General features: G+C 39.3%; 2 annotated features.

Moving 5' to 3' along the window:
- Window positions 1795–2337: an enhancer, noted in NCBI's record as "H3K27ac-H3K4me1 hESC enhancer chr13:79693371-79693913 (GRCh37/hg19 assembly coordinates)". NCBI's record gives its function as "activates a minimal SCP1, AML or CMV promoter by ChIP-STARR-seq in naive H9 embryonic stem cells {active_cell/tissue: H9 hESC(naive)}" and the evidence as "EXISTENCE:reporter gene assay evidence [ECO:0000049][PMID:30033119]".
- Window positions 12379–12458: an enhancer, noted in NCBI's record as "active region_7849". NCBI's record gives its function as "activates an Ori minimal core promoter by ATAC-STARR-seq in GM12878 lymphoblastoid cells {active_cell/tissue: GM12878}" and the evidence as "EXISTENCE:reporter gene assay evidence [ECO:0000049][PMID:35858748]".

Below are 13299 nucleotides of genomic sequence, written 5' to 3'. Positions count from 1 at the left end.
CCGTTTTTCTCAATAGTGTTTATGCATGATAGTTTTTTGCAGACTTTGAAAACCCAGTTCAGTCCTGTGCGTGGGGAGAGCAGATTGATGTGTCAGGATGACTGCTATCAGATTACCGATCTTGGAAAGGGGCACTGTGTGGGGCTGTTGCTCTGGATACACACCAGTACCTCACTTTTCTCCTGCACTCCAGGTAGCAGGAAAGAGGGTAAAAAACTGATGAGGGAAAAGGATTGAGAGCATCCTATTCCTCTCTTGGTTTTGGTAGTAGGGATGATAACTTAGCTCTATCATTTCCTTTAAGACTTCTGTATATGCTAACTGTATTTTTGATTATTAGTGGCTGTCACACATTGGCAGCATTCAATGAAGTGTCATATGTGCACCAAGCCATCAGTATTACATCAAATCAGTGATTTTCTATGCTCTTTGAGAATAGTCCTAACTGTACTGCAGCCTCATATAACATGCATTAGTCAAATCAGAAAAATACATTGCAATAAATAAAAAGGCAAATTGCAAAAATAGTAGTGTAACAGCATGAAAAAGGAGAGAATAGTTGCTCATTCAGGTGTTGGCAGCAAATTTCGGAGTCTACCAATTTACTTTTCTATCTTAAAATAATTTTGTTGCCTAGAATATTGCCTAATGTATTTAGGTGCTCAATACATATTTGTTAAATGGATAAATGCATTTTCAGGCACTGCCAGTACTCATTCTACAACCTTGCTGAAATTATAATTACTTCCTTGGAGTAATAATGGATTTACGGAAATGAATCCCAAACTTTCGAACTTGGTTTTAGGGCAATATGAGGCTTACTTTTTAGAGTTGAGTGAGATAAGTGTTATCCTCAGGGTGTTCTTTATCTAATCTTATTTTTGTTTGATGGCTTTGTTTGAAATTAGTCTGGGTATAGGAGTAATAAGTTTAAATCCATAATGTCAAAAAAGTTACTTGAATGCATATATCTGGGCCATTAAGACAAGCAACTGGAATCAGCTACTTCTTTTTTCTTGATTGTTTTATTTTATTTTATTTTTTGAGACGGAGTCTAGCTCTGTCGCCTAGGCTGGAGTGCGGTGTCACAATCTCGGCTTACTGCAAGCTCTGCCTCCCGGGTTCACACCGTTCTCCTGCCTCAGCCTCCCGAGTAGCTGGGACTACAGGCGCCTGCCATCACTCCCGGCTAATTTTTTGTATTTTTCGTAGAGACGGGGTTTCACCATGTTAGCCAGGATGGTCTCGATCTCCTGACCTCGAGATCTGCCCTCCTCAGCCTCCCAAAGTCCTGGGATTACAGGCGTGAGCCACCGCGCCAGGCCGTTTTTTGTTCTTTTTGAGATAGAGTCTCGCTCAGTCCTAGGCTGGAGTGCAGTGGTGCAATTGAGAGGTGACAGTGTGCTGGCAGCCTTCACAGCCCTCGCTCCCTCTAGGCGCCTCCTTTGCCTGGGCTCCCACTTTGGCAGCACTTGAGGAGCCCTTCAGCCCACCGCTGCACTGTGGGAGTCCCCTCCTGGGCTGACCGAGGTCGGAGCTGGCTCCCTCAGCTTGCGGGGAGGCGTGGAGGGAGAGGCACGGGCGGGAACCGGGGCTGCACGTGGTGCTTGCGGGCCAGCGGGAGTTCCAGGTGGGTGTGGGTTCGTGGGGCCCTGCACTCTGAGCGGCCAGCCGGCCCTGCCGGCCCGGGCAATGAGGGGCTTAGCACCTGGGCAAGCGGCTGCGTCCCCCAGCAGTGCCGGCCCACCGGCGCTGTGCTGGATTTCTCGCTGGGCCTTAGCTGCCTGCCGGCGGGGCAGGGCTTGGGACCTGCAGCTGCCATGCCTGAGCCTCCCCCACCTCCGTGGGCTCCTGTGCAGCCTGAGCCTCCCCGACGAGCGCCGCCCCCTGCTCCACCGCTCCCAGTCCCATCAAACACCCAAGGGCTGAGGAGTGCCGGCGCAGAGTGCGGGACTGGCAGACAGCTCCACCTGTGGCCCCGGTGGAGGATCCACTGGGTGAAGCCAGCTGGGCTTCTGAGTCTGGTGGAGACTTGGAGAACCTTTATGTCTAGCTAGGGGATTGTAAATACACCAGTCGGCACTATGTATCTAGCTCAAGGTTTGTAAACACACCAATCAGTACCCTGTGTCTAGCTCAGAGTTTGTGAATGCACCAATCGACACTCTGTATCTAGGTAATCTAATGGGGAGGTGGAGAACCTTTGTGTCTAGCTCAGGGATTGTAAACGCACCAGTCAGCACCCTGTCAAAACAGACCCCTCGGCTCTCTGTGAAATGGACCAATCAGCAGGATGAGGGTGGGGCCAGATAAGAGAATAAAAGCAGGCTGCCAGCGCCAGCAGTGGCAACCCGCTCAGGTCCCCTTCCACGCTGTGGAAGCTTTGTTCTTTTGCTCTTTGCAATCAATCTTGCTGCTGCTCACTCTTTGTCCACACTGCCTTTATGAGCTGTAACACTCACTGCGAAGGTCTTCAGCTTCACTCCTGAAGCCAGCGAGACCACGAACCCACCGGGAGGAATGGAAAACTCCAGACGCGCCACCTTAAGAGCTGTAACACTCACCGCGAAGGTCCGCAGCTTCACTCCTGAGCCACCGAGACCACGAACTCCACCAGAAGGAAGAGACTCCGAACACATCCGAACATCAGAAGGAACAAACTCTGGACACGCCGCCTTTAAGAACTGTAACACTCACAGCGAGGGTCCGCGGCTTCATTCTTGAAGTCAGTGAGACCAAGAACCCACCAATTCTGGACACACAATCACGGCTCACCGCAGTCTTGAATTCCTGGGCTCAAGCAGTCCTCTCACCTCAGCCTTCCGAGTAGCTGGGATTAAAGGTATGCACCACCACACTTGGTTAATTTTTTCTTTCTTTCTTTCCTTCCTTCTTTTTCTTTTTTAGTAGAGCTGTCATGTTATGTTGGTCTCAAACTCCAGGGCTTTGTTTCAAACTCCTGGGCTCAAGCGATCTTCCCATCTCGACTTCCCAGTTAACTGAGATTACAGGCATGAGCTACCACACCTGTCGTTGGAATCAGCTACTTCTGATCCTGACCTAAAAACTGGGTAGATGGGCTTACACTTTAGGCAAATGTCAGGCTATTGGGCCTCCTTAATACATACCCGTGCCTAATTGTAGGTAATTTCTAGGGTTCTTGCATGACTCAGGAGGAGTGAGGGTAGCTAGACAGGACGATTCCCCACAGCTTTTCTCCCTTGCTGTGTCACAAAGGGAAGTTCTAGGTAGGTTAGGGAATTTTTGTTTCACTATGTTGATGTAAACCCATACAGCCTATCCCACTCGCTGAGTACAACTAAAAGCTCTGGATAAAATACAAAAAATATCTATCAAAGGCTCAGATATTAAAGTAAACAAAGGTAGGCAGATTGTGAAGAGGCAACTCATATGGGGAAGGGACAGTGAGCCCTCGTTTTTTCTCTCCTAGCTTTGCCCTGAGGGTGAATCTCAGTGTGTAGTTACTTGGCAGAGGTAGCTGAAACTTAGGAAAAATCCTGTTTCTCTGGCTGGGAGAACTAGGGAAAGAAGCATCTGTGGGCCAGAGAGTATTAAGAAGAATTTTGGAAAGGAGAGCCTAGAGAAAAAGATGCCTATTTCTCTGAGTGAATCCACAAAAGTATCAGACTAACCCCTAAGCTATGCATATATGGCTCAGTCTCAAATGAGGTAGCACAGCTTGGGAGACCTAACCTGAGAGTTTAACTGCTGCTCTCAGAAGATGAACCTAAATGGCTCGAATGCATGCTAAAACAAAAACATCAACACTTCTCAGATAATTACAGTAGGACCCAGAGTCTATAGAACATCACATTCGTCAATCTAAAATTACTCAAATCAAACAAACACACATAGCAGAAAAATAGAACTAATTTTCAAGGGAAAGAAGAAAGAACAGATGCCAAACCCTAGATGACTCACATGTTGAATTAATAGACAAAGACATTAAAGAAGCTATAATGTCTATGATCTATGAGGTAAAGAAAAATATACAGTTCAGCAGAGAAAAATTATAAAGGACAACCAAATGGAAATTTTAGAATTGAAAGTCAAATATCTGAAATAAATATTTCACTGAGTGGGTTCAATAGTAGAATGGAGATGACAGAAGAAAGAGTCAGTGAACCTGAAGACTGATCAATAGAAATTATTCAGTCTGGTATACTGTCAGTGGGAATGTAAATCAGTATAGCTACCATGAAGAACAGCATAAAGGTTCCAAAAAAAAAAGCTAAAAAAAGATGGAAAACTAAAACTAAAAATATAGAACTATGATATGATCCAGCAACCCCACTACTAGGCATTTACCCAAAGGAAAGGAAATCAGTATACCAAAGAGACATCTGCACTCTCATGTTTACTGCGGCATCATTTGCAATAGCAAAGATATGGAATATGCCTAGGTGTCCAACAACAGATGAGTGGATAAAGAAAATGTGGTATATATACACAATGGAATACTACTATTCAGCCATAAAAGGAATGAATTCCTGTCATTCACAGCAACATCGGTGGAACTAGAGGACATTGTTAAGTGAAACAAGCCAGGTGCAGAAAGGCAAATATTTCATAATCTTATTTCTATGTAGGAGTTAAAAAAAATTTAACTCATTGAGATAGGGAGTAGAATTATGGTTACTAGAGACTAGGAAGGGTAGTGACTAGGGAGGATTAAAATGATTGCTAGAAACTAGGAAGGATTAAAGAGGGGCTGATTAATGGGTGCAAAAATAGAAGGAATAAGATCCAGTATTTGATAGCACAACAGAGCACTATAGCCAACAATAATTTATTGTGTATTTATATGTATATGTGTATATATGTATATATATACGTATATGTGTATGTATATATATATACGTATATGTGTATATATGTATATATATACGTATATGTGTATATATGTATATATATACGTATATGTGTATATATGTATATGTATACGTATATGTGTATATATGTATATGTATATATATACGTGTATGTGTATATATATGTGTATATATAGAGAGAGAGAGGAATTGAGATATTCCTAACACAAAGAAATGATACATACTTGAGGTGATGAGTATCTTAATTACTCTGATTTAATAATGACAAATGAAATATTTATATAAACATATATTTACCTCATAAGTATGTACAACTATTTTTTAAAAAAGAAATTATTCAAAATGAAGAGAACAATGAACAAAGCAGATTGAAACAAACAACAAAAAACACAGAAATTTAGGCACCTGTGGGACAATATAACAAGGTCTAACATGTGAAAATTCAGTTCCAGGGGAGAGGAGAAAGATTGAAACAATAAACATATTTGAAGAAACAATAGCCAAGCCCAATTTGGTGAACAGTAAAAATTTACAAAAAAAAGCTCAGTGAAGAGGAAATAAGATGTATTAAAAAAAATCGGGCTTTGACATATTATAATTGTATCACTGAAAATCAAAAATAAATATGTCCTAAAAGCAGCCAGATAAAATAACAGCTTGCATATAGGTGCACAATGATTTGAATTACTGTGGATTTCTCATCTGAATCTATGGAGGCCAGGAGACAATGAGACATCTTTAAAGTGCTAAAAGAAAAGAGCTGTTAATTTATTAATAAAATTCTAAGTCCTGTGAGGTATCTTTCAGAATTTTAAGTAAAAATATTTTTGGATGAAGGAGACAAGAAAATTTGTTTCTAGCATAGCTTTTTTATAAGAAATGCTAAAGGATGCTTTTAAGATGAAGGGGAAAATGGTGCTGGGGGTAAACTTGTCTTTAGGAATGTGAGAAGAACAACATGATGGTATATTGTTGGATAATTATAAAATACTATCATTTTTCTTTTTTAGTTCTTTAAAATACATATGACCAATTGAAACAAACAGTATAACATTGTTGGGTGAGGTTTTCAATATATGTAGGTATAATTCATGTAGCAACTATAACAGACTTCAGCCAGAGGGGGACTATTTGATTTCAAGACTATTCTATTTTACAGGAAGTAGTACAGTATTAACTCTATGAAGACTGTGAAAGATAAGATACATACATTATAATCCCTAGAGAAAACCCTAAATGTAATAAGAGAGAGCTAAAAAAGTAACAAATAAATTAAAATTGAATACTAAAAATATTCAGGTAACCAAAGAGAAGGCATGAAAGAAACACAGAAACAAAACACAGAGGGAAAAACAGAAAACAAATAAAAAATGGTAGGCCTAAATCCAACCATATCAATAATTATATTAAATGTTAATGGCTGAAACACTAAAAGGCAGAGATTGATATAGTGGATAAAAAAGCAAGAATCTAGGACGTACTCCCTACAAGAAATGCACACTAAATATAAGGACATAAATAGGTTGAATGTAAACAGATGGAACAACATATGGCATAAAAATTATAAACGTATCGAGGTTGGAGTGACTTTTTAAAATTTTAGGTTGAGATGATTTCAAGACTCAAAGTATTAGAGATAAAGAGAGATATTTTATAAGGATTAAAGAGACAATTCCTTAGGAAGACAAAACAATTATAAATGTCTATGCATCTAACCATAGTTTTTAAAATGTAATTTAATTTTTATTGTATTTTACCTTAAGTTCTGGGATACATGTGCAGAACGTGCAGGTTTGTTACATAGGTATACATGTGCCATGGTGGTTTGCTGCACCTATCAACCCATCATCTAGGTTTTAAGCCCCGCATGCATTAAATATTTGTTTTAATGCTCTCCCTCCCCTTGTCCCCCACCTCCCAACAGGCCCCAGTGTGTGATCTTTCCCTCCCTGTGTCTATGTGTTCTTATTGTTCAACTCCCACTTATGAGTGAGAACATGTGGTGTTTGGTTTTCTGTTCCTGTGTTAGTTTGCTGAGAATGATGGCTTCCACTTCATCCATGTCCCTGCAAAGGACATAAACTCATCCTCTTTTATGGCTGCATAGTATTCCATGGTGTATATGTGCCACATTTTCTTTATCTGTACTATCATTGATGGGCATTTGGGTTGGTTCCAAGTCTTTGCTATTGTAAATAGTGCTGCAATAAACGTGTGCATATGTCTTTAGAGTAGAATGATTTATAATCCTTTGGGTGTATAACCAGTAATGGGATTGCTGGGTCAAATGGTATTTCTGGTTCTAGATCCTTGAGGAATCGCCACACTGTCTTTCACAACGGTTGAACTAATTTACACTCCCACCAACAGTGTAAAAGCATTCTTATTTCTCCACAGCCTCACCAGCATCTGTTGTTTTCTGACTTTTTAGTAATCGCCATTCTGACTGGCGTGAGATGGTATCTCATTGTGGTTTTGATTTGCATTTCTCTAGTGACCAGTGATGATGAGCTTTTTTTCATATGTTTGTTGGCCACATAGATGTCTTCTTTTGAGAAGTGTCTGTTCATATCCTCTGCCAACTTTTTGATGGGATTGTTTTTTTTTCTTGTAAATTTGTTTAAGTTCCTTGTGGATTCTGGATATTTGTTAGATGGGTAACTTGCAAACATTTTCTCCCATTCTGTGGATTGCCTGTTCACTCTGATGATAGTTTCTTTTACTGTGCAGAAGCTCTTTAGTTTGATTAGATCCCATTTGCCAATTTTTAACCATAGAGTTTTAAAGGTACTGTTCAGATCACCTGGTCACCTTGGGAAAGTCAATGCCAAGTCGGCTTCATCCCTGCAAGGTATCCTCACTAGCATGGCTTCAGGGATACCTGATACATATGGCTCCTGAGTTACAGTTGGGTCTGGCATAGTTACAAGGACTATGTTCTCTCACCTTTAGCTAAATAGTAGTCAACTTTTCATTTTTAATTGTTCAGGTATTTTAAAGTGATGATCACAAATATAACACAATTTTTCAGAGAAATTCAAACTAAAGATAAAATATAAATGAAAATCTTAGCTTTTGAGTTCATTCTACATAGTCTTAAAATTTTAACAGGCTTTTCTTGTTGACAAAATACCATGCCAAGTGATGTAGAGGCAGATAATATAACTGTATGTAACTGAAAAATAATCTCCAGGTGTTATTGGCTGATTTATGTTCCACCAAAATTCATATGTTGAAGTCCTAACCCCCAGTTCCTCAGAATGTGCCTGTATTTGGAGACAGGGTCTTTCAATAGATAATTAAGTTAAAACAAGGTGAAACAAGGTCGTTAAGGTAAGGCTTTAATCCGATATGACTGATATGTTCATAGAAAGAGGAAATTGGGACACAGACATTCATACACAGTGGGAGACCCATGTGAAGACAAGGGAGAAGGTGGCTAACTGTAAGTCAAGGGGAGAAGCCTCAGAAAAAAACAGCCTTACTGACACCTTGATCTCAGACTTCTAGCCTCGTGAGAAAAGAAAATTGCTGTTGTTGAAGCCACCCAATCTTCAGTACTTTGTTACGGCAACACTAGCAAACTAATACACTAGGCAAATGCCAGGGAAAGAGCAGGAGTAAAGTGAGATCCTTTAGGGATTAAGCAACACCTAAACTGTCTGCAAGGGAAAGCATTTTCTGCTTTGCAAAGGTGGTCACTCATATCCCAGTATTTTATTATTAATATGTGTGAAGTTTTTCAATATGTATTAAGGACATATACAGGATTTTCTTGTGTAATGAGAATAATGGAAGTAAGTTATTACTTCCATAAAATGTTGGATTGGATGTAATTGTAGCCGAAAGGATGATTTTATTACATAAGAAAGATACTGTTGGCTAAAGCCAATTCATTAGAATGGTACACCAGTCTGTTATTATTTTTATTTCTAGTCCTTATGAGATTTCATTCTTTTAGATAAAAACATGCATATCAGCTTTGGAGTTTGATTGCCTTATGGGCATAAAGCTTTGCATATTTACTGCCCATGAATCATACCGGTATGTGAAATCCAGAGAAGATTCAATTTTTTGCTGCTAGATGCACCTCCAGCCGTTTAATTAAAATATGTATTATTAATAAAACTATATTTAAGTCATATTTTTTACAGATATGACTGAAACATTAAGTGCAAATTGTTTCATACTTTCATAGTAATTTGCTTTTAACGTTTTGTGCCTTAATCAAGGTAGCACACTAGTCAAAGGTTTGTGGTACTGCAGACTTCTTGATGGCGAAATTGAGAAAAACAAGTGGAAAGTGGTGATTAATGAAAGGACACATTTACTTTTCAGAAAGACTCTGGTTTTATTGCAAAAGGGTTCTGTACTAAATTGGAAAGTGCAATAAAATAAAGAGCAGAAAAGAATATTTAATCTCTTTCAGTGCATAGCAATGCCATTTGCCATGTGCATGATAGCTTTGTGCATGTTTCCAACACTGTGTTTCAGCCTGGCTGTCTGCCTTTAGATGTCACAGTTGTTCTTCCACTGAACTGAACTGACTTCATCTCTGTGTTTTCACATTTTTTTCACTTTCCAGAAAGCTTGTATAATCAGTAACACTGATTAGAGGCACTATAGCTCACTTATATAATTCTTAGCAAGGAATTGATTCACAATAGTTTTATTAAATAGGTGATGAAGGTGATGGCTGGATGGCTCTATCAGACACTATGTAGCTTGCTGTAAGAATATAGCCACAGTGAATGGAGTTTGTTATTACAGATTACAAAATTTCCAAACTCTTGAATTTGGTACAAGTGGCGATGGTGGTGAGTGGTACAGAATTAGTAGAAAGGAAGAAAGTATTTAATGACTTCCTACTATGTGCCAGGTACTGTGCTAATCCATTTGCCAGTTGTTATTTCATCCTCATAACAAAGCTTCAAGGAAGAAATGCACATCTCATGGGTTTCACATGAGGAAATGTAGGCCCTGGGAAGTTACGTAACTGCCCCAGCTTTGTAGCTGGTAGGTGACTGAGTCTGGGATCAAAATTTTGGCTTTTTAACTCCAAAGCTCCAGTGGGATCACTGTATAGTCTCTTGCATGTTGAGCCTCTACGAATGCATGCATCTTTTATGTCTGTTTCTAACTAACTGTATGAACACCACCACCAACCCCTCACCCCACCATGAGGTCCCCAAACAGTCAACACTGCTCCTTCCTGTACAGTTTCCTACTCTTGTCCTTTCATAATCCTGCAATCCTTCCCACTCTCTCACTGCTTTTCTCTCTACCCACGCAAGGAAGTTCTACGTTACTTCCAGTGGAGTGATGGTGACCTTTCTACTTTGACATATTCTTTACCAAAAGAATCATACATCTTTGTGTTATTTAGCATTTTTCAATTAAATTCTATTAGAATAGTTTTTTGCTAAGTGGTCTGGCTTCTAAAATTTAATTTTTAGAAGTAATTTGTTTGTGATTCTAGACCTGTAATTACAGAATTCAAATTAATGAAGCCCCCTCCTTTACTTTAAAATGAGCTAGATGGGAAGCCATTAGCTCAGCTAAAAAGAAGACAGTATTTTAGCAAGTTTTCTTTCTTCTTTCTTTCTTTCTTTCTTTCTTTCTTTCTTTCTTTCTTTCTTTCTTTCTTTCTTTCGATAGAGATTCTGACTTTATGACAGCTACTTAAATGGCATTGGATTGGATAGTTCTCCTTCAAGAAGAAACAGCGTAGAGCTGACATAGGTCATAGAAAAAAAATCCTTACTGAAATGTGTTTGCTGTAAGATAGATATCTTTTAATACTTAAATTCCCATTGCAGAGATACTTAAATATGACTTTTTGCCTTCAAATTTCCCAGTTCTTTATGCTAACTATAGAAATTGAACCTAGCATCGTGTTGCCACCAGAAAAGTGGATGCTTCTGTCTTTTCCTTAACCAGTGGGAGAGTTTACCTATGTTTAAAGTAACAGTGATGACTGTATTAGTCAGGGTTCTCTAGAGGGACAGAACTCTCTCTCTCTCTCTCTCTCTCTCTGTCTGTCTGTCTCTCTCTCTCTCTCTCTCTATATATATATATATAGTTAATACTTAATAACAATACTTATAATACTTAATAAACTCATATATATGAGTTTATATATATATATATGTATATATGAGTTTATTAAGTATGAACTCACACTCACAAGGTCCCACAATAGGCCATCTGCAGGCTGAGGAGCAAGGAGAGCCAGTCCAAGTTCCAAAACTGAAGAACGTGGGGTCTGATGTTCGAGGGCAGGAAGCATCCAGCACGGGAGAAAGATGCAGGCCGGGAGGCCAGGCCAGTCTCTCTTTTCACGTTTTTCTGCCTGCTTATATTCTAGCCATGCTGGCAGCTGATTAGATTGTGCCCACCCAGGTTAAGGGTGGGCCTCCCTTCACCAGCCCACTGACTCAAATGTTGATCTCCTTTGGCAAAACCCTCACAGACACACTCGGGATCAATACTTTGTATCCTTCAGTCCAATCAAGTTGACACTCAGTATTAACCATCACAATGACCATGCTTGAAAACAAAGGGAAGCTAAGCAAAATTAGGTCTGATTTTCAATAATTGTAGAAGAATGTCTAGGCAAAGAAACAGAAAGCCCTCATAGCCCAGGGCAGCCTAAATTCCAAGAAACAAGTGGCAAATCCCAAGTCTGGTTTTGCAGGTGCTGGCGTTTCTATGTTCTGTACATTTTTAAACTTTGTCTTTCACTGAGCATCCTTGAAGAGAGTTCCATTGGTTTCACAGTGGGGATGCTGCCTCTTGACTCCACAGAACTCTTAGCATGGAAATTAACCAAACTTCAAAAGTTCTTTGTGTTCTAGAAAACAAACAAAACACACTCTGAGGGACTTATTATTTGTAACACTTAAATTCTAAAACACGTGCACATGCACACACACACTTATACATATTTCAAAATGTAATGACCTGTCTTAAAAATTTTGTGACTACCCACCCCCCACCAAAAGCAGCATGATCTCTCTCAAGCCAGTTCAACCCATACAAAGTAGAAAATACCTAAAATAAATACAATTAACTGGGTACCACAGTTGCACAAACACAAATCTTCAAAGAAGAAAAGCCATAGAGGAAATAAACTAGAGCAAGCCAGCAACTCTGGCAGGAATGGGTAATGGAGAAGCCCTTTACAGAGTGGCAGCTGTTAAAACACTCATCATACCAGATGGTCCAGTTGAGCAAGGCTTGGCCTCTGAAAATATTGCTGGGTTAGGTGATATTTTTTTCTAATGTGCCACATACATTTTTAGAACTGAAAGTGACCCAGGAGGACCTCATGGCAGCAAAGTGACTGAGGTCTGTTAAACAAGGTGTTATCTGGTGCTTTCTTTATTTGTAAATTTTCATTCTGGTTTTAGAGTCAGGGAAAGTTTAGTAAGTCTCATGTATGGGCACATACAGATGAGACAAGACATGGAAATTTTACTTGAGCGAATTTAATCAGTTTTGCTTTTAAACTTACACATGGTTAAATAAAACATTTCAAATGTGGCAATCACTTTCTTTATGCCTTGTAACAGTCAGCCTTGTGAGGTTGGACCATGATCTTCTGATCAATCTGTCTGCCCTGTGTAAGTACCTACTGTTGTGCTTATACACAGAGGGCAGGCAGCAAACAGACATCATAATGCTTACTTGCATCTTTGTCTTCTCTCCAGTCTGGTTTTTGGAATGCTAATTTTAAGACTGAAACTTAAAGAAATGTAATATTTTGCTGTTATATATTGGTGCTTACCCTAAAGGGCTGTTTCCAAAAACTCTACAAAGTTTTAGCAAGAGTCTTGCAAGAGATACCCCAGTGAAGTCCTTATTTCTGCTGATGGCTACTAATACAAGTATTTTTTTTCTTCTCCTTTTTTTTAATTGTCTTGAACAATGCACTGAGAAGTTGATAAATTACTTGTGAACTTGTTCTAGCTACTTCAGAAAAAAATTCAGAGACATTTAAAAATTTTAGTACATTTTGCTTGAATTGTGAGTGTTAAGTCATGTATAGGAAAAGTGATTTGATGCTTTAGGAAACCTGCATAGCCTTTTCTTTCAAGAGCCATTCTTGAACCCCAGGCTGAACTAAGTGTCCATCTTCCGTGGTCCCACAACACATAGAGCAAAGCTTTGCACTTCTCACACTTGATTCAATCTATACATTTTTAGGCATATCTCTCTCACTAGTCCACAATCTCCTCAAAGACAGGCACTGTGTCTGATTCATCTGTGTGTTCCAATTACCTATTTTGGTGTTTACACATCTTAGCCCTTATGTATTTGTTTAATAGAACTGAAATGGGGACAGAGGATACAGGTAACTACATTTCCCTGTAAGAACCTACATTCATTTAGAAGCATTCTTTATTTAAAAGCTGAGATTGCATGTGGCTACAAATACTTGAAA

The sequence above is a fragment of the Homo sapiens genome, chromosome 13 (assembly GCF_000001405.40).
Source record: "Homo sapiens chromosome 13, GRCh38.p14 Primary Assembly".
In the NCBI taxonomy this organism is placed as follows: domain Eukaryota; kingdom Metazoa; phylum Chordata; class Mammalia; order Primates; family Hominidae; genus Homo; species Homo sapiens.
Note: the sequence above shows the minus strand (reverse complement) of the source record. Positions and strands in the feature narration are given on the sequence as shown.